Source organism: Homo sapiens, chromosome 20 (genome assembly GCF_000001405.40).
Source record: "Homo sapiens chromosome 20, GRCh38.p14 Primary Assembly".
Taxonomy (NCBI): domain Eukaryota; kingdom Metazoa; phylum Chordata; class Mammalia; order Primates; family Hominidae; genus Homo; species Homo sapiens.
In genome coordinates, this window is record NC_000020.11 from 50,226,918 (window position 1) to 50,249,364 (window position 22,447).

Here is a 22,447-nt window from a genome sequence, read left to right on the forward strand (position 1 = left end):
GAGCAGGCAGGGCTCTGGCTGGTCCAGGGCCCCTTGTCTGGGTATAGGCTGGTGGGTAGACTAGGGGAGGTCAAAGTAAATATTCTGGGAATGACGTTGCTTGCAGCCCATGGCAAACACAAACATGGAAAAGCCTATGGGGATGTGCAGTAATGGGGATGGGGTGGCAGAGGCGGGGATGGGGTGGCAGAGACAGGGATGAGTCTTGAGAGGCTTCATGGAGGAGGTGTGTCTGGAGCCAGGTTTGTAGATGGGAGATGAAGGACATGGGTGCTGGGGCCAGCTACCCTGGGCTTGAATCTCAGCTCTGCACCTTTCCCACTGTGTGAACTTGGTCAGGTTCATGTCCCTCTCTGAACCTCAGTTTCCTCATTTTGAAAATGGAGATGATTGGCTGGGCATGGTGGCTCACGCCTGTAATCCCAGCACTTTGGAAGGCTGAGGTGGCCAGATCACCTGAGGCCAGGAGTTCGAGACCAGCCTGGCCAATATGGTGAAACCCCATCTCTACTAAATACAAAAATTAGCTGGGCATGGTGGTACACACCTGTAGTCCCAGCTTCTCGGGTGGCTGAGGCACAAGAATCACTTGAACCCAGGAGGCAGAGGTTGCAGTGAGCCGAGATCACGCCACTGCAGTCCAGCCTGGGTGACAGACTAAGACTCTGTCTCAAAAAAAAAAAAAAAAAAAGAAAAGAAAATGGAGATGATAATATTTACATCCCCCTCACAGGGTGTGGTGATGACTGAGAGATGATGCAGATGAAGTATATAGAGCAGGGCCAGGCATATAGCTGGTGCACAATACATGCTAGCTATTTTCATTCTTACTAGTGGCATAGTAGAAAGCACTGGAATTTTAGCTTCAGACAGACCTGGGTGTACATTTCAGTGTTCTGCATCTCCCTGTTCTTGAGCAAGCTCCTCGCCTGTTTGAGCCTCAGTGTTCTCACCTGGACTTGGAGATGGTTTCACTTCATGAGGTTTGTGGTGAGGATGAGGCATGAAATTCCTGTAGATTGCTCAGCACAGTGCTGGGCACACGGTAGGCACTCGCTAAGGAGTGGTTGGCATCCACTGGTCTATGGCCCAGTGGTTAAGGCAAGGGTTTGTATATCAGGCAGACCTGGGTCTGAGTCCTGGCTCTGCCCCCATGGGCTGCCGTGAGGATTATATAGAGCTCTAGATGTAAAGTACCCAGTTTGGTTCCTGGTACCTAACAGGTGTGTGGACAGTGGGAATAAAATCAGGATCTTTGTGACTCTGAAGACCAGTGTTAGGCCACCCCGACATCCTGGGTGGGAAGGTGACTTTCTTCCATTGAAAGGTGGGGAAGGCTCTGGCCCTTTCACGGTAAGGAAACAGTTTCAGAGAGGCGACATCACTAGCCTAGGTGGGCACCTGGGTCTGCTTGTCCGTAGAGCTTGTCTTTCCAAAAGGGGAAATCTCTGGGTTGAGGGTGTCCCATGGGGCCCCTTGAGTGTCACTGTGCATGCTGCTGGAACAGCCTTTTTTTTTAAGAGGGTCTTACTCTGTCACCCAGGCTGGAGTGCAGTGGCGCAACCACAGCTCACTGCCTCCTCAACTTCCTGGGCTCAAGTGATCCTCCCACCTCAGCCTCCCGAGTAGCTTGGGACGACAAGACTGCATCATCCGCCTGGCTAATTTTTAATTTAATTTTTTGTAGAGACAGGGTCTTGCTATGCTGCCTGGGCTGGTCTCGATCAGTGATCCTCCTGCCTCGGCCTCCCACAGTGCTGGGATTACAGGCGTGAGCCTCCACACCCTGCCTGGAACACCCTTTTAGTGGTTAATGAAAGCAGGTGACACATACCGTGAAGAAGGCAACTCTTGGCATGAGGTTCTGGGACCCAGCAGTGTTCAGGGCCCGCCACCCCAGACTGGGGACCAGGGCATGGCTTTGTATGTATGGGAGGTGGCTTGGGGTCTTGGGGTTGGGGCAGACCCCAAGAGGCCTGGCCTGGGCCTTTTTCCCTCTATCCAACCAGCCCCACAGCACTCTGTCCAATTGTTTATTTCTTGTTACTGTTGGGCGTTTTGAGGCATTTCTTCCAACTGTCCAGAATCCGAACCTCCTTCCTATGTGTGGAGAATTTTCTGCTGTATGAGGCAGATGTTCTGTCTCCCACAAAGGAGGCTGTGAACATGAGCCTCAGATTCTGCCCCCTGTGGCCAGAGCATGGACAATTAGCTCGGCCATCTAGGTGCACTGTCCTGGGCCCCTGGGGAGTCCATTCAGGGTCCATCCAGAGGCTTCATTTATGCACGTCACGTCCTTCTCCTGCTCAGAATCCTCCCATAGCTCCCCATTGTCCTCAGGATAGACTTCAACTCCTGCCCGTGTCCCGCAAGATTTGACGTGATGGAGCTCCACTGACCGCCCCTCCTCTCCCTTTCACCCCTCCAACCACAGGAACCTCCCTCAGCTAAAGTCAATATGCCGAGCTGGTACCTGCTTCAGGGCCTGTACGTTTGTTGTTTCTTCTGTTACTATATCTCATTTCACAGGTGAGGAAATGGGGCTGGAGGAGGGGAGAAGGAAACAGGGCGTGGTGGAAGGAGAACTCCAACTGAGGTTGGGCTGGCCTTGGCCTGGGCCTCAGCCTTGTGGTAATCACAATCCACGCCAGAGACTGCCTCCTCCAGGAAGTCAAAACAGATCCTTTTTGTAGACGGATCCCTCTCCTTGCCTCTGCTCAGCCTGACTTAGGCATTCTCTCGGGCATTTGGGTGTGTGTGTGTGGAGGTGACATTGCCCCCACAGGGGTGGAAATTAATTCTTATGGGGTAAAAAACATCTTAATTTTTTTATGTATAAAGCGAAGATAGGCCGGGTGCGGTGGCTCATGCCTGTAATCCCAGCACTTTGGGAGGCCGAGGCAGGTGGATCATTTGAGGTCAGGAGTTCAAGACCAGCCTGGCCAGCATGGTGAAACCCTGTCTCTACTAAAAATACAAAAATTAGCTGGGTGTGGTGGCAGGTGCCTGTAATCCCAGCTACTCGGGAGGCTGAGGCAGGAGAATCGCTTGAACTCAGGAGGCGGAGGTTGCAGTGAGCAGAGGTGGCTCCACTGCACTCCAGCCTGGGTGACAGAGCGAGACTCCATCTCAAAAATAAATAAATAAATAAATAAAAATAAACTCACCTTAACTTGATTTGAATCCACGCAATACCTCAACTGAATTCAACTCAACAGAACTCCACTCATTGTGTTTAGTTGAACTCGACTCAGCTTAATGTGTCTCCACTCAACCCTCCTTTGCTCAGTTTGACACAACCCAGCTCATCAGCACGACTGACATCAGCCCTGCGCCCCTCCACTCAGCAGAGCGCAGTTCAGGTGAAAACTCACCTCTACCTGACTCAACTCAACCCAACTAACTCTGCTTAACTCACCTCACCTCCGCTCAGCTCAGCTGACCTCAGTTCACCTCAGTTTACTTCAGCTCAGCGCCACTCACTGCAATCCCACCCACCTCAGCTCAGCTCAAGTCAATCCTGCTCTGTTGAATGCTCAGCTCAGCTCCACCCAGCTCCTCAACACACCTCATCTCAACTTTTACAAGTTTTTTTTTTTTTTTTTTTTTGAGATGGAGTTTCGCTCTTGTTGCCCAGGCTGAAGGGCAATGGCTCGATCTAGGCTCACTGCAACCTCCGCCTCCCAGGTTCAAGTGATTCTCCTGCCTCAGCCTCCCGAGTAGCTGGGATTACAGGCATGTGCCACCACGCCCGGCTAATTTTGTATTTTTAGTAGAGACAGGGTTTCTCCATGTTAGTCAGGCTGGTCTCGAACTCCCAGCCTCAGGTGATCTGTCCACCTTGGGCTCCCAAAGTGTTGGGATTACAGGCGTGAGCCAACGCACCTGGCCAAGTTTTTATTTATTTGTTACCTTTTTAGAGATAGGGTCTTGCTCTGTCACCCAGGTTGGAGTACAATGGCAAGAACATAGCTCACTGCAGCCTCGACTTCCCGGGCTCAAGGAATCCTCTTGCCTCAGCTTCTTGAGTAGCTGGGACTACAGGTACATGCCACCATGCCTGGTTAATTTTCAAATTTTATTTGTTGTAGGGATAGGGTCTCACTATGTTGTCCAGGCTGGTCTCAAACTCCTAGCCTCAAGTGATTCTCCTGCCTTGGCCTCCTCCCACAGTGCTGGGATTACAGGCTTGAGCCACTGCACCTGGCTAAAGTCAGTTTAAGTTAAGTGTATTCACTCGACTCACCTCAACTCTCTCGACTCACAGTAGACCCCCACTGTGATTGCCACCTGCCTTCCCCAGACAGCCTCCAAGCCTTGCAGAGAAGGAGTTAGCCTCCAGGTGTTCCCAGTTTAGCTGGGGACCCTGACATGTCCTTTCAGCTGGTGCTGTCATATGGGAAACACAGGGCACCGCATGAGCAGTCTGTGGCAGCCCCAGAAAGCCCCAGATGGTTCCCCACAGAAGGAAGAGTCAGCGCAGGCAGAACAGTGGGAGGAAGGGTGTCCTGGGCAGAGGGAACAGCACGTGCAAAGTGGCCGAGGCAGGGTGGATGGAACCCTCTGAGACCCAGAGGTTGCTCCAGCTGGAGGGAGGAGTGGAGAATGAGGATGGTGTAAGTGTGGCCGGGGGACAGGCACAATCCCCCAGGGAGGACCTGGCCTGGACAGGGGGAGACACTGCAGTACTGAGCAGAGAAGTGTCATTTTAAACACCTTCCTGGCTGCTGGGGGACGCATAGAGCTCAGAGGTGAGACTGGACTTATTGTGTAGGGACAGAGCCGAGAAATCCAGCGCTAGGGGGCTGGTGGGGAGCAGACAGGTGGGGAGCTTAAGGAGAGAGTTTAGGAAATTAACCATAAAAATGACCAGAAATTGAGCACTTATTCTGGTCCAGTCCTTGTTTCCTTACCTTACAGGTATCAATGAATTTAATCCTCACAACGATTCCATGAGGTAGGTATTATTATCAACCCTATTTTGTAGATGAGGAAACTGAGGCCCAGAGAGGCCAAGACATCCTAAGGAGCGGAACTGGGACCTGAACACAGGCTTTGGTGCTCCAGAGGCCTCAGGAGCAGCCGGACATCTTATGCAAAATGCCCATGGCAGGTGCCTCCTGGAGGCCGGCCCCTGCCCCCCAGCACACAGTAGGTGCTCAGGGCCTTCTTTCTCTGTTTGTGGGATTTAAATCATCATCACCACTTGAGTTGGGAGTGCCCGTCCACTATTCAAAGGGAGAAACTGAGGCCCAAGGAAGGATTTGAGACACGGGTAGGAACATATTCTACAGACAGGCAGGTGGTATCACTGGGGTCTTCTTCAGCCATTGGGAATTTTTTTTTTTTTTTTTTTTGGAGAAAGAGTCTCGCTCTGTTGCCCAGGCTAGAGTGCAGTGGTATGATCTCGGCTCACTGCAACCTCCGCCTCCTGGGTTCAAGTGATTCTCCTGTCTCAGCCTCCCGAGTAGCTGGGACTACAGGCACACACCCCCGTGTCTGGCTAATTTTTGTATTTTTAGTAGAGGCAGGGTTTCGCCATGTTGGCCAGGCTGGTCTCAAGCTCCTGGCCTCAAGTGATCCACCCACCTGGGCCTCCCAGAGTGCTGGGCAGTGGCAGGGTTACAGGTGTGGGCCACTGTGCCTGGCCATCATTGGGATTTTGATTCAACGTGTGTGCATTGAACGGCCCTGTGTGCTGCTGTGGGGAGAGGATCCCACCTTCGTCCCTCCAATGCTGAGAATTCTCCCGTGGCTGCCCTCCGTCCCGAGGATGCAATCTGGGCTCCTCACTGTGCCCCAAGAAGCTCTGCTGGATCTGCCCCAGCCTCCCCTGCCTCCCTGGCCTCACCTCCCATGACTCTGCCTTCTTGCCCCTGCACCAGCCTCCTCCAGCAGCAGTCTCCCACCCCAGGACCTTTGCACGTGCTGTCCCTCTGCCTGGAACACTCTCCTCATGACAGCCCCATCTCCTCCATGGGTCCTCAACTCTAAAGTTGCCTCACTTCCTCAGTGTGGCCCCCCCGAGCACCTGAACTGAAGCCCCCCAGTTCTTATGTATCACATCACCTCATTGTTTTGCTTTTATTTTTCAATGTTCTGCTTCCTTGCTGGAATTTTCCTGTCTATTTCCTGCCTCCTGCAGGGGACAGAGCTACTGTAGGCAGGATCCCTGTGGGTCTTGTTCCCTGCTGTATCCCACAGCCCAGCACACAGTAGGTGCTTAATAAACATTCGTGGGATGAATGAATGAATGAATGAGTGAAGGAATGGATGGAAAGAGCTTAAAAATGTAGGTGTGGAGAGGAGGACTGGCAGGCCTGGGCCCAGGCTGGGGCTGAGGCCTCCTCTCCTGGGTCTCCCTGCCCGGAGGAGGGGCCCCTGCCAGGGCAGGAGGGTGGGTGTTGGGGGCAGGGAGCAGGGCTGGGCGAGCCTTCTCTGTTCCACTGTTTTCATCCTTTCGGTAATTATGGGCTCAGACACTCCTCGATGCCTTCCCAGAATAATAGCCGGGCCTGTTATCAGTGGCATCTCTGGGACCTTCTCACAAACAGTCATTAATCAAGTCTCACTGCCACCCTGCCCTCCCTCTTGGTTGAAGCCGAGGCACAGAGAGGTAAGGCCATTTTCCTAGTGCCACACAGCTGACGCAGGGAGGATGGGCTGTTTTGCCCTGAACCCTAAGGTGCAGGGTAGGGGCTCCTTCTCCCTGTTCCACGTGGGAGAAGTCTCTGAGCCTGCCATGACTGGGGGGCCCTGCCCCCAATTTCAGGCCCCCAGCCCTCCTTGAGGCCTCAGGGGCCTCCCAAGGTGGCCTCTTAATCATTGCCAGTTAATTAAGGAGGTTAAGCAGCTCCCCGGGGCCGAGGCAGGCCTGCCCAGGGAGAGAGGTGGCAGGGCCCGGACTGCATCTCACACTGAGGCCCCTGCTTCCCAGCCTGAGTCTGGCATGGGCGTTGTGTCTCTGTGGTGCCCATCACCGGACCTGGGGGTCTCTGGGGGAGGCGTGGGGCCTCCGATGGGGCCATAGAGTTCCATTGCTTGGGCAGTGCCCCCTCCCCTTCTTCGGGGGTGTGTGGGAGGTGCTGGCATCACTTAATGAGGCCTCCGCGGCTGCCAAGGAGAGCTGGAGGAGTTGAAACAGGTTCTGGGTGGGGTGAGTTTCGTGGGCTGGGCAGAATCCATGGCTCCATGCCATGTGGGCGCTCCCCAGGGCAGTGGGGGTGGGCAGGTGTGGGACCCCCAAATGGCCCCTGTGTCCAGCCCTCTGCCCTGATGGGTGGGAGCAGAGGAAGCTTGGGAGGGGATTGTGGAGATGACAGAGGATGACAGACAGGAATGGAGGTTCACATCCCACCCTCCTAGGCCCCCCACTGCCCAGCCTGTGGGGACCACACCAAGACCCACCATGCTGGCAGCATCTGGGGCTCCGGAGACATTGCTAATGTGTGCTCTGACACAGACTTGGGCCTCGGTCTTCTGACCTGAGAAATAGGGGTGGTTGGATGGGATAATCTTGGGCTCGGAGCTTTAGTTTCGGAATGACCCATCTATAGCAGAGCTGCCTGACTTGCTGTGCGACCTTAGGCAAGTCGCTTTCTTCCTCTGGGCCTGTGCAGCTCCGGCTGTGACCCCGTGGTGGTGGGGTGGACGCAGTGATCCTTATCTCCGCTGAGGTTGCCAGTGCTTCGCAAGGGGCACCTAGACTGCTTTCTCCAGGATTCTTCCAGCAAGGAAATCATTCAGTGCATCTCTCCCGGCCCTGGGGAAGCACCGAGGCTCTGGATTCAGGCCAGGGAGGTTTAGAAGGAAGCTCCCCAAGGCCAGGCTGTGGGTCCTGGGGTCTGGAGGGCAGCCCTTCTGTGTTACTGAATCCTCGGGGCCACTTCAGGCTCAGGTGAGGCTGGATCAAGGCGGGACCCAGAGCCCATGGGGGCCCCGTGGGTTCTTTGTCTTTCCCACTGTTTTTTCAGGTCACTTTTATGGATATATAATTTATATACAGCACGATTCACCCTTTCGTGGTGTGCAGTTCTATGAATCTTGAGAAACGTATACAGTTGTATAACCAGCACCATCAAGATACACAATATTCCATCACAGCAAAAAGTTCCTTGGTGCCTCCTTTGTTATCAATCCCTTTCCTACTCCCAGCCTCTGGCAACTACCGATCTCCCCCAACTTTTTATTTTGAAAAATTTCAGACTTGGAGAAAAATGCCAAAACTTCACAATGGGCCACCAAGTGTCCCTTCCCCCAGAATCCCCGACTGCGAACACCTGGCCCCATGTGCATTCTTGGTCTTCCTCTGTGTGATTTTTGCTGAGCTGTTTGAGAGTAAGTTGCAGACATCCTTACCCTTCACCCTAATTACTTCAGCGTGTGCCTCCGAAGGACAAGAGTGTTCTCCCACGTAACCATAGTGCCAAGATCACTCCTGAGAAATTTAGCATTGATTCAATTACATTACCTAGTCTCCAGGCCATGTTCAAATGACTTGGACTGCTCCAAAGTGCCCTTTATAACCATTTTTCATCTGTTTTTTTTCTTTATTTTTCCTGGTACCAAGGGTTAGGCCCTGCCTTTGGTGGCACATCTCTTTAGTGTCCTTTTATCTGGGACATGGAACATTCTCCCGGCTCTTGCTTGACTCCTTTTTTTTTTTTTTTTTTTTGAGACGGAGTCTCGCTCTGTTGCCCAGGCTGGAGTGCAGTGGTGCGATCCCGGCTCACTGCATTGCTTGACTTTTTTTAAAAACCACTCTCATGGTTTCCTATACCAGGAACTGCCAGGGGAATTCCCTGGGGATGTGAGTGCCAGGAAACGGGGGCTGCTGACTTGGGGGACATGGGATGTTCTTAGGGTTTTTTCTGAAAAGTCTTGTTTAAAAGTAAAGTGGCAGTAGAAGGAGAGAGAGACTTGGGTTCATTGGCTCAACTTTTAAGAATGCTGAAAATTCAAAGCAAAAAGAGACACTACCCAATTTGCAATTGAGAGGCATCTCTAGTCCTGTGGTTGAGGTTCAAATCCCAGCTCTGCCTCCCCTTGGCTGTGAGCCCTTGGTCAGGTAACTTCACTTCTAGAGCCTCTGTTTCCTCATCTGTGCGATGAGGATAATAGCAGTCTGTCCACCTTGCCCTGTTGTTGTCAGGAAATGAATCAATGCATTTAGTGCGTGAATAGTAGCAACTTCATTTGCTAATTTGCTGATAGTATTTTTAGACATTTCTCTCTATAGTTACAGATATATGTGGGATATACTTACAGAGACAGCTCATGGATATATGTGAATCATGCATTATATAAATTAGGCCATCTTCTTTTCTCTCAATACTTTATCACAAGCATTTTCCTATATCCACAAATGGAGCACTTGCGCATCGTGTATAACTTTAACTCATTTTGTCCATAGATAATACCATGTGGCACCAAATACCAAAGGTACAACAAGCGTGCAGTGAAAAGCCAGTCTCCCTCTTACATTTGTCTTCACCCTCTCAGCTCCTCACTGTGACAGTCTTTTGTGTTGCTTTTCAGAAGGGTTCTGTGAACATGTGGGCAAAAGCATGTATTTGCTTTGCTTTCTTACAGATATCAGAGGACTCTACACACTAGTTCTGTGCCTTGTGATTTTCAGCAACAGTAGATCTTGATGATATCAGTACGTAGAGAGCACCCTCCTTTTTCAAGGCTGTGTGGCGTTCCATGGTGGACACAGAGCAGGATGTAAACAGCCAGTTCCTTAGTGATGGTGGCTTGCAGGCTTTTGCCATGACAAATTGCAACTGTGTTCTTGTGCAAGTATATCCATAGGGTACATCCTAGAAGTGGAATTGCTGCATCAACGGGGATCACGAGGTCAGGAGATCGAGACCATCCTGGGTAACACAGTTAAACCCCATCTCTACTAAAAATACAAAAAAAGAAAAAAATTAGCCAGGCTTGGTGGTGGGTGCCTGTAATCCCAGCTACTTGGGAGGCTGAGGCAGGAGAATGGTGTGAACTCGGGAGGCGGAGCTTGCAGTAAGCTAAGATGGCGCCACTGCACTCCAGCCTGGGCGACAGAGTGAGACTCCTTCTAAAAAAAAAGTTATATATATTTTGAATTTTGACCCACCATCATTTTTATTTTATTTATGATTATTATTATTTTTGAGACCGGGTGTCACTCTGTTGCCCAGGCTGGAATGCTGTGGCACAATCTTGGCTCACTGCAACCTCTGCCTCCTGGGCTCAAGCCATCTTCCTACCTCAGCTTCCCGAGTAGCTGGACTACAGGTGTGAGCCATCACGCCCAGCCAATTTTTGTATTTTTTGTAGAGATGGGGTTTTGCCATGTTGCCCAGGCTGGTCTTGAACTCCTGAGCTCATGCAATCTGCCCACCTCGGCCTCCCAAAGTGCTGGGATTACAGGCGTGAGCCACTGTGCCGGCTGCCACCATCATTTGTAATAGCTGCACAGATCCTAGTGTATTTAACAGTACCCTACTGGTGGACATTTAGGTGGTTCCAACTTGCCCTTCCTATAAACAATGCCACAATGCACATCTTTGTGCAGCCGCCTTTGTGTGCAGGACAGTCAGCTTATGGGGAATTCCCGGGATCAACAGGAAGTACCAAGAAGGGGAAACTGAACCGCAGGGGCCAGCATGACCCCAAGGCCTGTGGGTATGGATGGTGGCTGGACTGGTTGGATGGGTATGGATGGTGGCTGGACTGGCTAGAGGCTTCTGGGCTCTCCCTGTCCCCGGTGTGGCCAAAGGGTCCTAGAGTACTGGACTCCTCTAGATCCTCACTGCTCAAGGTGTGGCCTGGGAGCCACAGCATTGACCCTACCTGGGAGTCTATTAGAAATGCAGGGTCTGGGTCCCCCCTACCCCAAAACCCTGTTAAATCAGGACCAACATTTTCTTTCTTTCTTTTTTGAGACGGGCTCTCCCTCTGCTGCCCAGGCTGGAGTGCAGTGGCGTGATCTCTGCTCACCGCAACCTCTGCCTCCTGGTTCAAGCAACTCTCCTGCCTCAGCCTCCCGAGTAACTGAGATTACACGTGCACGTCACCATCCCTGGCTAATTTTTGTATTTTTAGTAGAGACAGGTTTCGCCATGTTGGCCAGGCTGGTCTCAAACTCCTGATCTCAAGTGATCCACCTGCCTCAGCCTCCCAACCAAAGTGCTGGGATTACAGGCATGAGCCACAGCGCCCAGCCTAGGATGGACATTTTTACAAGTCTGCAAGGGATTCACCAGCACAGCTGAAAATGAGAAGAGCTGCCCTAAAACAAACCTAGACACTCCAAGACTGGAGAGAATGGCTCAGCCTTGGGTCTGGGGCGGGCCTGAGGTCACACCTGGCTTCACCGCCTGCTGGCTGTGTGATGGAATGCAAGCCGGCCAACCTCTCTGTGCCTCGGTTTTCTCATCTTTAAAACAAGGAATGAGAGGATCCCTCCTCTCACAGGGAGGTTGTGAGAATCAAGCATGATCGTTCACAGAAAAGCGTTTAGCACAGTGTCCGCACTTAGCAAATGCTCACCCAACCCTGTGATTTTGATGGTTATGGAGGCTCACGTTACGGAAGGCGATGCGGGAGTCAGATCTGTCTGAGTTTTGGTTTCTGCTCTCTCCATCTCTGTCACTGTCACTCTCCCCGTGTCTCTCCAGCCCTGTTGTCTCTTCATATCCGCTTATTTCTCTCTGTTCCGCCACCGCCCGCTTCCTCTGTCTCGGTCTCCTTCTTCCTGTCTCTCAGGGTCTTTGTCCTCATTTCCACCTGGCCATAGGAGCTTTGCAAGCATCTGTGAAAATGCTAAACATCGGGAAAAATGGAGCTAACTACAATGATAAAAGTGCAAACTAAAAATTAACAATACTAGAAAAGCAAAACTATACTATTATAAAAACTCAAAAACAGTAACAAAAATTATGTTTTTGGTAGGTCGTGGGGCTTTTCCAGCCCATTTGATGGGTAGTGGCTTGGAGCTGCAGGGCTGCGGGGCCCTGCTGGGGGTTGCCTCTCTTTCCTGTTTTTTTTTTTTTTTTTTTTGAGACAGCGTATCATTCTGTCACCCAGGCTGGAGTGCAATAGCGCAATCTCTACTCACTGCAACCTCTGACTCCCAGGTTCAAGCGATTCTCCTGCCTCAGCCTCCCGAGTAGCTGGTACTACAGGCCTGCACCACCACACCAGCTAATTTTTGTATTTTTAGTGGAGATGGGGTTTCACCATGTTGGCCAGGCTGGTCTCGAACTCCTGACCTCAAGTGATCTACCCGCCTTGGCCTACCAAAGTGCTGGGATTACAGGCGTGAGCCACCACGCCCAGCCTCTTTCCTGTTTCTTTGGACCCCTTGCAGCCTTGAACCTAAACAGAGCTGAGTGATTCAGTGGAGATCTGGCCTCAGCTGGTCACTGATCCCCTTCTCTGTCCTTTCCTCACTGCATGGCCCTGGGAAGGCACAGCCACTGATCTATGTTCTTCCAACTCATTTACTAAGTGCCTACAACACCAGGCCCTGGGACACAACACCGAACAAGATAGACACAATCTCCGCCTTTTGGTGCTTATGTTCTAGGACGGTGTGCATGTGACAGATGATATGGATATGAGTGAATAAACATGCGGAACAATTGTATGGTGCTAAGTTGTGGTTGTGTGATAGAGAAAGGCGTGGGGCTGCTTTGCACTGGGGATGAGGGTGGGGATCTGGGAGGATGACTCTGGCCGAATTTAGAGACTAGAATGATGAGAAGGAGCTGGGCCTGGGAATAGCTGGAAGAAGGACATTCCAGGCAGAGGGAACTGCAAGTGCAAAGGCTCTGAGGCAGGGACAAACTTGGGGGTCAGTCATGATTGGGAGATCTTGGAGGAGGAAAAGATCTCAAGAGAAAGACAGTCTTTCTTTGCTGAGTGTCTCAAGCAAGTTACTTGCCCTCTCTAAGCCTTAGTTTCCCCCTGTGTAAAATGGGAATGTTAAAGACACAATCCCAAGAGATGAGTGAGTTTTAAATCCAGTGGTGGGCCAGAATTTCTATACTGGAGGGTCTTAGGGGATGGTTGGGCTATGGGGTGATTTGTCTTGAATTTGTGGGCTTAGCAGCACTACTCTTTTTACTTGGTTTACTTGGGCGGCTTTGGGGGGTGATGATGGAGATTATTTGTGGTTGCAAGTGATGCCCCAATTTCCCCATGGCCGAGCCCCTGATTTCAGGAGTTAATAGCCTACAGCACTCGGCACAGTGCCTGGCACAGAGCAAGTAGACAGGAATGGGGAGGGCATTCCAGGTGGGAGGAAAGGCGTGGAGATGGGAATGTTTAAGGCGTGTTAGGGGAAGAGTGAGGAGACCAGCCTGGCTGGTGGGGACGGGTGAGTGAGAGGCTGGAAAGACGGGTTGAGGACCAGGATGAGACCTCGAATGGCATGCAAAGGAGGGTGGCCACAGCCCGGAGGCAGGAGGAAGCCACTGTGAGCTCTGGAGCAGGAGAAGCCGTGGAAATAGGCTTTGTTTCTGGTTTGATTCTCAATATTTTTAATGTTTTACTATTCAAAAAAATTTAAAGGATAAGAACAGAAGTTTCCACGCAGCTATCACTCAACTGCCTGGAAACTTATGTTCTTCTGTGTTCTTTTCTTCCTTAAAAGGAACCACCCCAATATAGGGGATCCCCCCATATCCCTGCCCAGAAGGATCTCTCTTAGAAGTCACTGCAACCTGTGAGCTGAGATTGCACCACCGCACTCCAGTCTGGGCGACGGAGCAAGACTCCGTCTCAAAAAACAAAACAAAACAAAACAAAAAACAAAAAATAAACAACAAAAAAACCAGTCACTGCAACCTGGATTTGATGCTCGTGATTTCCCTGTGTGTCTTTATCCTTCTCTTGTTGGTTTGATGAAGGTATCCACCTGGTTTGATGGAGGTGTAAATGCACACAGTAAAACACACAGATCTTTTTTTTTTTTTTTTTGAGACGGAGTCTCGTCCTGTCGCCCAGGATAGAGTGCAGTGGCACGATTTTGGCTCATTGCAACCTCTGCCTCCCAGGTTCAAGCGATTCTCCTGCCTCAGCCTCCTGAGTACCTGGGACTACAGGCCCGTGCCACCACGCCTGGCTATTTTTTTGTATTTTTAGTAGAGAAGGGGTTTCACTGTGTTAGCCAGGATGGTCTCCATCTCCTGACCTCGAAATGCACAAATCTTAATTGTAGTTTGATGGTCATGGGATCACACCAGATCAAGATGTAGAACATTCCTAGCCTCCAGGGGCTCCCTTCAAAGGTAACTACTGGTCTGATTCCTATTACGATAGATTGGTTTTGCCTATTCTTGAACTTCATATAAGTGAGCCCATTCAGTCTGTGCTCTTTTGTATCAGGCACTTTCACTTAAACTCATCCAATGAGGTCTATCCAAGTTTTGTGTCTGTTTTCACGGCTGTGGAGTATTCCATTGTCTAACTAGACCACAGTTTGTTGAATCACCCTATGGTCAACAGAGATGGGGGTTGTTTCCAGTTTCCACTATTTTGAATAGTGCTGCTGTGAACCTTCTCTTACACATCCGACAGTAGACATAAGCAGGCATTTCCCTTAGTCTATATCCAGGAATGGAATTGCTAGATGATGAGATATGCACATGCTTGGTTTTTGTAGCTATGGCCAGTTTCCCAAAGCAGTTGTAGGACATCTTTAGACTTTTACACACACACACACACACACACACACACACACACACACACACACAGACACACAGACACACGTGGAATCCCTGAGGGATTCGGGGAGCTGCTTTGGGTTGTGGGTGGGATTGTACAGATGGCGTCCCTTGTACATTTGCTTCTGCATCCTGCTTTTTTTCCACCCGATGTTCTGTTCTGGAGTTCCGTCCCCGTTGGCGGAGTGGCTTGGGTGCATCTATTGGTTGTCCCTGTGGGCTTTGTCGTGGGGACAGACCACAGTGCTCTTCCTCAGGCTTCTGCTCCTGGACATTTAGCTTATTCCCGACTGGGACTCTCTTTTTGGCTTTTCATGAATATCCGTTATGCGTTGGGTGAGGCCAGCTAGGACTGGCCGAGGTGCAGGGTGGACATTGGGTCTATCGTGGTGGGAGATGGGGACGAGGGGCTGGTGGCACAGATGGTTTCAAGGGACTTTTAGGGAACTTGGTTATGGTGGGGGAAGAAAGAAACAAGACGGGGGCCTTGGGGGCCAGAAGCCCAGGTTTAAATCCCTGGTCCCCCCTCCTAGCTGTGTGACCTTGGGCATGTGACTTTGCGGCTTGGAGCCTCAGTTACCTCATCTGTAATTTGGGAACATCAACCCTGCCTGATAAGACGGTTGTGAGGGTTGAGTGAGCACAGACATTCAGTGGACCTGGCTAGGATTTGAACCCCTTTATTAACTGATTGACCTCGGGCAAGTTGCTTCACCTGAACCTCAGTTTCCTCATCTGTAAAATGGGGATGATAATAATACCTGCCTCCCAGCAATTTTATGATGATGAAATGAGATTTCGGACATAAAGCACTTACTAGATGCTCAATACCTGGCGGTCTCTTGTTATTATTACTATTGCGGTTGACTTCTCTGCCTTTCCCTCCAGAAGGTGGGTGGCTAAACAGCAGGAATTGGTCTTTTGTCCCCACCTTCCTCCTGTGGCTCCCACACAGGACAGAGGTGAGGGTCATCTGCATCCAGGGTGTAGACCTCGAGTGAGCCCTGCCCGGCTGGGAGCCTCAGTTCTCTCCTGTAACAGGGGCTCATGGCAGTGCCTACCTGACCAGGTGGCTTCCCAAGGGGCACACGATCTTGTTGGGGAGAAGAGCTGGTCAGGAGGGACCTGTGGACGGGAGACATTTTCCGAGCAATGTTGTGGCTGATGCCATCTGGGGGTCCTCCCAGAGATGGGCGGGGGATGTTGGGCTGAGCCCCTGAGGAAGGAAGACATGGCGTGGGAGTGTAAGAAGGGAGAAGAGGAATGATTCCAGCCCTGCTGACCTCCTGAGGGGAGGTTTCAGCTGCAGGGATGCCAGAGCCGCTTGCTGCAGCGGGGACACTCAGGCCACAGCGAGAGGAAGGCTGGAGTCCTGGGTTCCCAACTTGCCGCTGATGTCCTTGTGCTGTGTGACCCTGGGTGCCTGTCACTCTTACCCTGTGCCTTGGCCTTCGTTCATTGTGAGAATCTCAGACTTGCTCTCTCTTCTGCTGGGTTTCCCGGCCCCCGCAGACCCCCTGGCCTGGCCCCTCTGCCCTCATGGAGGCCGAGGCCAGGGCCCAGGGCCAGGGCTGCGCACCTTGACAACGCGCCCACGCCGGGCACAAAGGCCCATTGTTCGGGCCCACGTTGGCGGGGAAGCGGGCGGGGAGCAGCCGCCTTTCACCCAACCCGCTTGTGGTCGGCGGGGACTGAGGAGCGATTCACAGAGGCCCCCGCCCCCTGTCCGGGCATCCAGCCAGGATGCCTCCCAGGCAGGCACCCTTGCCAAGCTGGGCCTGTGCTACCCAGAACTGGGCCTCAGTTTCCCCAGCTGAGAAAAGGGAAGCAGAGCAGCTCTGATAGTGGGGTAGAGCTTGCTGTTTGGCCTCATTGCCCTGAGATCCACTGCTCTGTGCCTTCCCCAGGCACAGATCAGCTGCCCCTGACATGCCAGAGGAGGCCACGGGATCTGGGGCTTTGGGGCCTGACAAGTCTGGGTTTGGATTCATGCTGGATGATTTTGGGTGAGTCTGTTCAGCTCATGAGCCTTTGTTCTCCCGCCTGTAAAAGGGGGCTTGGAGTCCATGATCCTCAGAGGTAAAATGAGAGAAATGACACCTCAGGGCGGCATTCATTCATTCATTCATTCATTCATTCATTCATTCATTCCAAAAGGTGTACTGGCTGTCAACTCTGTACAGGACCAGCTATAGAATGTTCAGTGTCGTGTGCAAAATTAAACGTGATGGTCCTTGTTCAAAATTAAGAATTTCAAGAGGTAACGGCATTAATCCAAGCATGGGGCCCTGTGTGAAGGCATGCGTTGCAGGTCTGTGAGGCTCACTCTGCCTGTGTGCCAGCCGTTATCCCAGGCACCAGGACCAGGCACTGGGCCCCACTAATGAGAGAGGGAAAAATTTCTGTTGTCATGGAGCTCATAACCTGGCAGGGGGACCTAGAGTCCCTGAACCTTCCCAAGGCCAGGTGCCCCAGGAGGCCTGCTCCTCCTGGGCCTGCTGACCAGGCCAGCGGGGTGAGCGGAGGCACCCAAGCTTCCTTCGAGGCTCCGATGTCAGTGACCACCACATCTGGCTGGGCACCCACAATAATAATGGCTTACATTTGCATAAGACTCTGCCCGGGCTGATCCAGGACCCTTTCTCGGATGAACTCAGCATCTTCGTGGCAACCCTATGAGGAAGGCGAGGCAGCATGGCTCACCCTTTGTATGGATGGAGAAACTGAGGCTCAGGCTCACTGGACCATTCAGCCAGCAAATGGCAGAGGCAGGATTTGAACCCAGGCTGTCTGGTGCCAGGGTCTTCATTTCCTCATTCCATCCTCTGTGGATGGGGACAGCGGTGAGCGAGGTGGTTTATGCTGGCAACAGAGGCCCTGCTGGGGATTGAGGCTGGGAAGGGTGCGGGTGTGCTGGTGGCCCGCCAGCTGCCACCTGGGTTGGCCCTGCTGTGTGGCCCTGAGTCACAGCGCTGTGTCCTGGGAAGCTGGTTGTGCTCCGGGCACCCGTGGGGCCTGAGTCACAGCAGAGCACACCCTACCTTCCTGCCTACCTCCCACCTGGGCCCAGGGACAGGCAGGCCCTCTGAGCAGGTTCTTAGGCAGGCAGTCACATCTCTGCCCAACGTCAGGGGCAAGAAAGAGGCACCTGTGTGTGGCTCCAGAAGCACATTCCTGCTTCCTGTCACTGAGCCCAAATCCATCCTTCCAAGCTACCCTTTGGATGGATTAGCTGGCAGGTAAAGTACTGAGCTCCCCGTCACTGGGAGCATTCAAAGCAGGATAGCCTGTCAGGGGTGCTGAGAAGTGTTCCTGAATCAGGTAGGGCCTGCTGCTGGAGTATGTGAATTCCAATGCCCTAAACATGTGCTTATGTGCTAATTTTTGAATAGCTATGGTGAGCAAATGCTACAAAATCCAAAAGTAGAAAGGGGTATGGAATGAAAGGCAATTCCTCACTCTCTCCTTTCCCCAGCCTCTGACTCCCCCTCCTTAGAGGCAGCCACTGTTAACCTGCTATTTTGGCCAGAGTTAATTTATGTACATACAAACAAATATCTATGTTGTCCTTGCCTCCCTCCCACCCTTCCACACAAATGGTAGCCAATATGTTTCTTACAGTGTTCTGCTCCTCATTTTTTTTTTTTTTTAATTATTTGACAACTTATCCTGGAGACTGTTCTAGATCAGCACACAGAGCTGCCTCATTCTTCTTACCTAGCCACATGGTATTCTGGCCCCTTCCCTTTTAAAATCTATAACTGATTTGATTAAAGGAATTTTCAACCCTGAATTCTACATATTGGGATCTGCACTGTCCTTTGCTCTGGTGGTGGCCTGAGAACATTTTCAAAATTTGGCTGGAGACTATAAGCTCTTTCCACATCCGTGGGGATTTTTGTGTTCTGTTTTTAGTTGACTAAGGCGAGGGCAGCTTTTCATTCACAGCTCTCCACGCCAGGCAGGCACTGGTAATCCACTGGTGAGCCCCACGGGCATCAGCTCATCTGCCGACAGTGTGGCCAGGCTGTGGGAGGAGTATGTGGTGGCAGGGAGCCCAGAAGAAAGGGCTTCCTGTGTTTGTTTAAGTAAGGGGTTAGTGATGGCTCCTCAGAGGTGGGACTATTTGGGCAGGGCCTTAAGGGATGCATAGGAGTTCCTACGAGGAGAAGTATGGAGATGGGCTTGCCAGACAGAGGAAACTGCATGATAAGCGAAACTGCCTGGTAGATGCAGAAACTCCTACCAGCATCCACTTACTGAACACCTACTAAGTGCCAGGCACTGTACTACGTACTTTACAAGTCATTGCTGCATTTCAACTCTTGACAGTTGTAGGCTATTACTAGTCCCATTTTACAGATAGGTTAGTTGAGGTTAGATAGGTTAGAAAAGCCCAGTAACTTGCTCACAGCAACACAGCTACAAATATCGAAGCCTGGGTTTGAACCCAGGCGACTTGGGCTCTTGGCCATTCTACTATCCCACAAGGGTCAAAGGGTAGATGGCGAGGTCCCGAATGCTAGATCTTGACCTTTCAACCTTCCCAGCTCGGGTCCTGCCCCTGCTCAGAGGCCCTTAGTTGTTCCCCACTACTCCAGGACTCATCGGCCTGAGCTGCCCTCTCCCTCCAGCCAGGGTGGGCACCTGGGGCAGCATCAGCCTTTCTGGGTCTGGCTGGGTGTGCTGGGTGCTGCAGGAGGAGCCACACATGGTACTAATGGAGCCAGGGAGCAATTAGGGGGGCATATACCCTGGCCTGTGCCCACTGACCGGTTTTGGATGTAGTTGGAGATGGAACTGGCCCTCTAGGCTTTGTCCCCTGGAGGCCTAGGGACTCTGTCTTCAGGGCAGTGCTGGCTGTCACTTTGGCCCAGCCCCTCTGGCTTCCTGGTTGTGAGCAGCCTCTGGACCCAGAGAACTGTTCTCCCGTGTACCCTGTTGGGCACTGGGCCTGGGGCTTTTTAAACCTCATGGATTCTGCAACGTGGGAATTCATCCCTCCATTTGGCAGATGAAAAAAAGAAGGTTCAGAAAGGTGAAACGACTTGTTCAAGGCCACACAGCGAGGAAAGGGCAGAGCCAGGACAGGAATCCAGACCCTGAGTTTGACTCATAACCACCCTCCACTCCTGCCTCCGTGCAAGAGGATTTTCCAACCTGTCTGCTGCTTGGCAGGGGCTTAATCAACCTCCCTCTCTCTCTCTCTCTCCTGGTCTTCAGGAAAGGGGCAATGAGCCCATTGCCACGGGGTACGGCGGAGCTTGGATGCTGCACCCAGGACTGAAAGGGGGACCTGTGGGCGGCCTCTGCCTCTCCCCGCGCAGCGTCAGGACACAGGCCCACATTCCCTCCTGGCTTCTCCCTGAAGGGAGAGAGAATAATAGTTGGTTCAAATGTCAGGCCTGCTCCGTGCTGGTGGGGAGACTGGTTGAGCAGGTCCGCAGGAGGGACGGAGGGAGGAAATTATTAATAATTGCAAAGCAACCAGCCACACTACAGGCCTTGAGTTGTGTCTGCGTTTGTCTTTGGAGGTGTGGAGTTGGGGGTGCTGATCCTGGGGACCCAGCCCAGGGGTCAGGACAGCCTGGGGACCAGCTGCAGCTTCCCAGAAGCCTGTGTGGGTAGGGGAGATGATGGGGGCACAGAGTCAGCCACCTACCCCTGGCAAGGTGGGACACATCCCAGCCTCCCCATCTTCCACTGACTCAGGGAAGGATCTGTCAACATCTAGGGGAGGGAGGAAAGAGCCTACTACGTACCTTCAGGAAGCTTCTCATTAGGTGATGGATTTAATCCTCACAACAACCAGATGAGGTTGGCCTTGCTATTATCTCCAGTTGGGGAAACTGAAGCACAGAGGGTCTAAGGGTCTAATTGTACAGATTTGAATCCAGGAGGTCTGAGTGCAGCTGGATAGTCCTTTGCTGGGATGGGAGGATCCCCATTCCCTGGGAACAGCCACACCCATTCCCAGAACATCACCACGATCCCTGCTGCCTTCCCTTGGAGGACAGGAGTTGGTGTGAAGCTTCTCTGAGCCTCAGTTCCCTCATCTATGGAATAGGAGCCAGAGTTCCTCCCTCCAGGGTCAGAAGGCAGCTAGCTGATAAGGGGAGCAGGTAAGGAGGTGAAGGGTCGGTTTGCTGGCTGCTGCCTCCACCTCCCTTCCAGAACCAGTCACCAGTGACAGTCCCTTCATCAAGACCCTTTCTTTCCTCCCTTCTCCAGCACCCACGGTGAGGTCTGACCAACAGCCGCAACCATAGTGGCGCTTTGCTGAGTCTTCCTTGAGCTCCCTGTGTGCCTAACGCAGAGCTTCTCCCCTCCCCGGGGCTTTGGAAAATCTGCTCTGAAATGTCTTGTGAGTGATCAGTTTACGCTTCAACAGGAAAATGAGTTGAATGGTGGAACTTGAGGCAGGGTTTTGGGGAATGGACAGTGGGAGTTCTGGGAGTCTAGAGCCAGCCTCTGGGCTTGGGGTTAGCAGGGCCGAGGCATGCCCAGATCGCATGCCATCAAGCCCCAGGACCAGCCGCATCTGTGGGGTACCTCCAGGGCGTCCCCCTCCTTGGCCTGCCCTGATGGGCTGATAAGACCTAGCCTCGGAGGAGGAGGCAGCTGTAATTACAGGCCTTAGTGGTGGCGGGCAGGCAAGTCATGAGGTGGGGGTGACTCAGACGATTGCTCCACGGACAGGGTGGAGGCGGGGGCCACCCATCTGCCCCTCACCCAGCTGGCCTGAGATGGGTCTGGGCACCCAGGGAGCGGCCCGGCCAGGGTCCCATCCTTGGGCCTGTGACCCAGGCCCCTGTGCCACTTGGCATCCACGAAGCTGGCATTGCACTGGACTTGGGACTGGCTGGGTTTTCCCCTTTCTTCGTCCCAGGCAATAGCTTCTGGGAAGTAGGAGTCAGTGCTCAGAGGCACCAATGGGAGGATCATCAGGACTGGACCGAGAGAGCCGCAGACTCGGGGGAGAGTACCGGGAGTCCCAGACCACAGAAAGACAGAACCTCAGCCATGTGCAGACTCTGAGAACCAGCAGATGACGGTTTCTAGAACCAAATATTTTCAGGTTCAAGGATTCAGGGACTAGTAGATCTGTAGAATTATCGATTTATAAGATCACGGACCTGGTTGCAATTGGTTCCAGAGAATTCATATATCCATTGAGATAGAGATTTAAAAAAAAATCACAGCAGCTGATGAGTTCAGGAGTAAATTACCTTGGTGTCTTCAACTTGCTCCCACATGGATCAGGCAAGAAAAGCCCCCCCAAAAGTAGAAATATGCATCTTTCTCATTTAACCTAGCTAGAGGGAAGGCCCGCAGACTGAAGAATTAACAACTGGTAAATTGAGGCAATCATTGTACTAATCATTTGACTGTCTATGGGCTTAAAAATTGTCAAAATAAAAAGCCAGGAAATAGTAATAAAGAAAAGGAAATGTGGGTCAGGCATGGTGGCTCACGCCTGTAATTCCAGCACTTTAGGAGGCTGAGGCGGTAGGATCGCGTGAGCCCAGGAGATTGAGACCAGCCTGAGCAATATATTGAGACCTCGTTTCTATGGGAAGAAAAAAAAAAGCAAAAGAAAATGAAATGTGAATACCAACCAGGACATTACAAATTATGCAACTTGGTAATCTATAATATTATGACTTTCCAAATCTATGCATCTGTTATTCTCTTCATTCACTCATTGTATATTTTATTTATACACTTTTGCA

General features: G+C 51.9%; 1 long non-coding RNA gene across 1 annotated transcript; it reads right to left on the minus strand.

Annotated features, from left to right (window-relative positions):
* On the minus strand, positions 11,537-20,574 carry LOC107985386 (uncharacterized). The gene is made up of 3 exons (XR_001754718.2): positions 20,477-20,574; positions 15,776-15,930; positions 11,537-11,808 (listed from the first exon to the last, which is right to left on the minus strand). It is a non-coding gene; the product is annotated as an uncharacterized LOC107985386 (long non-coding RNA).
* Between the last annotated feature and the right edge of the window lie 1,873 nt (positions 20,575-22,447).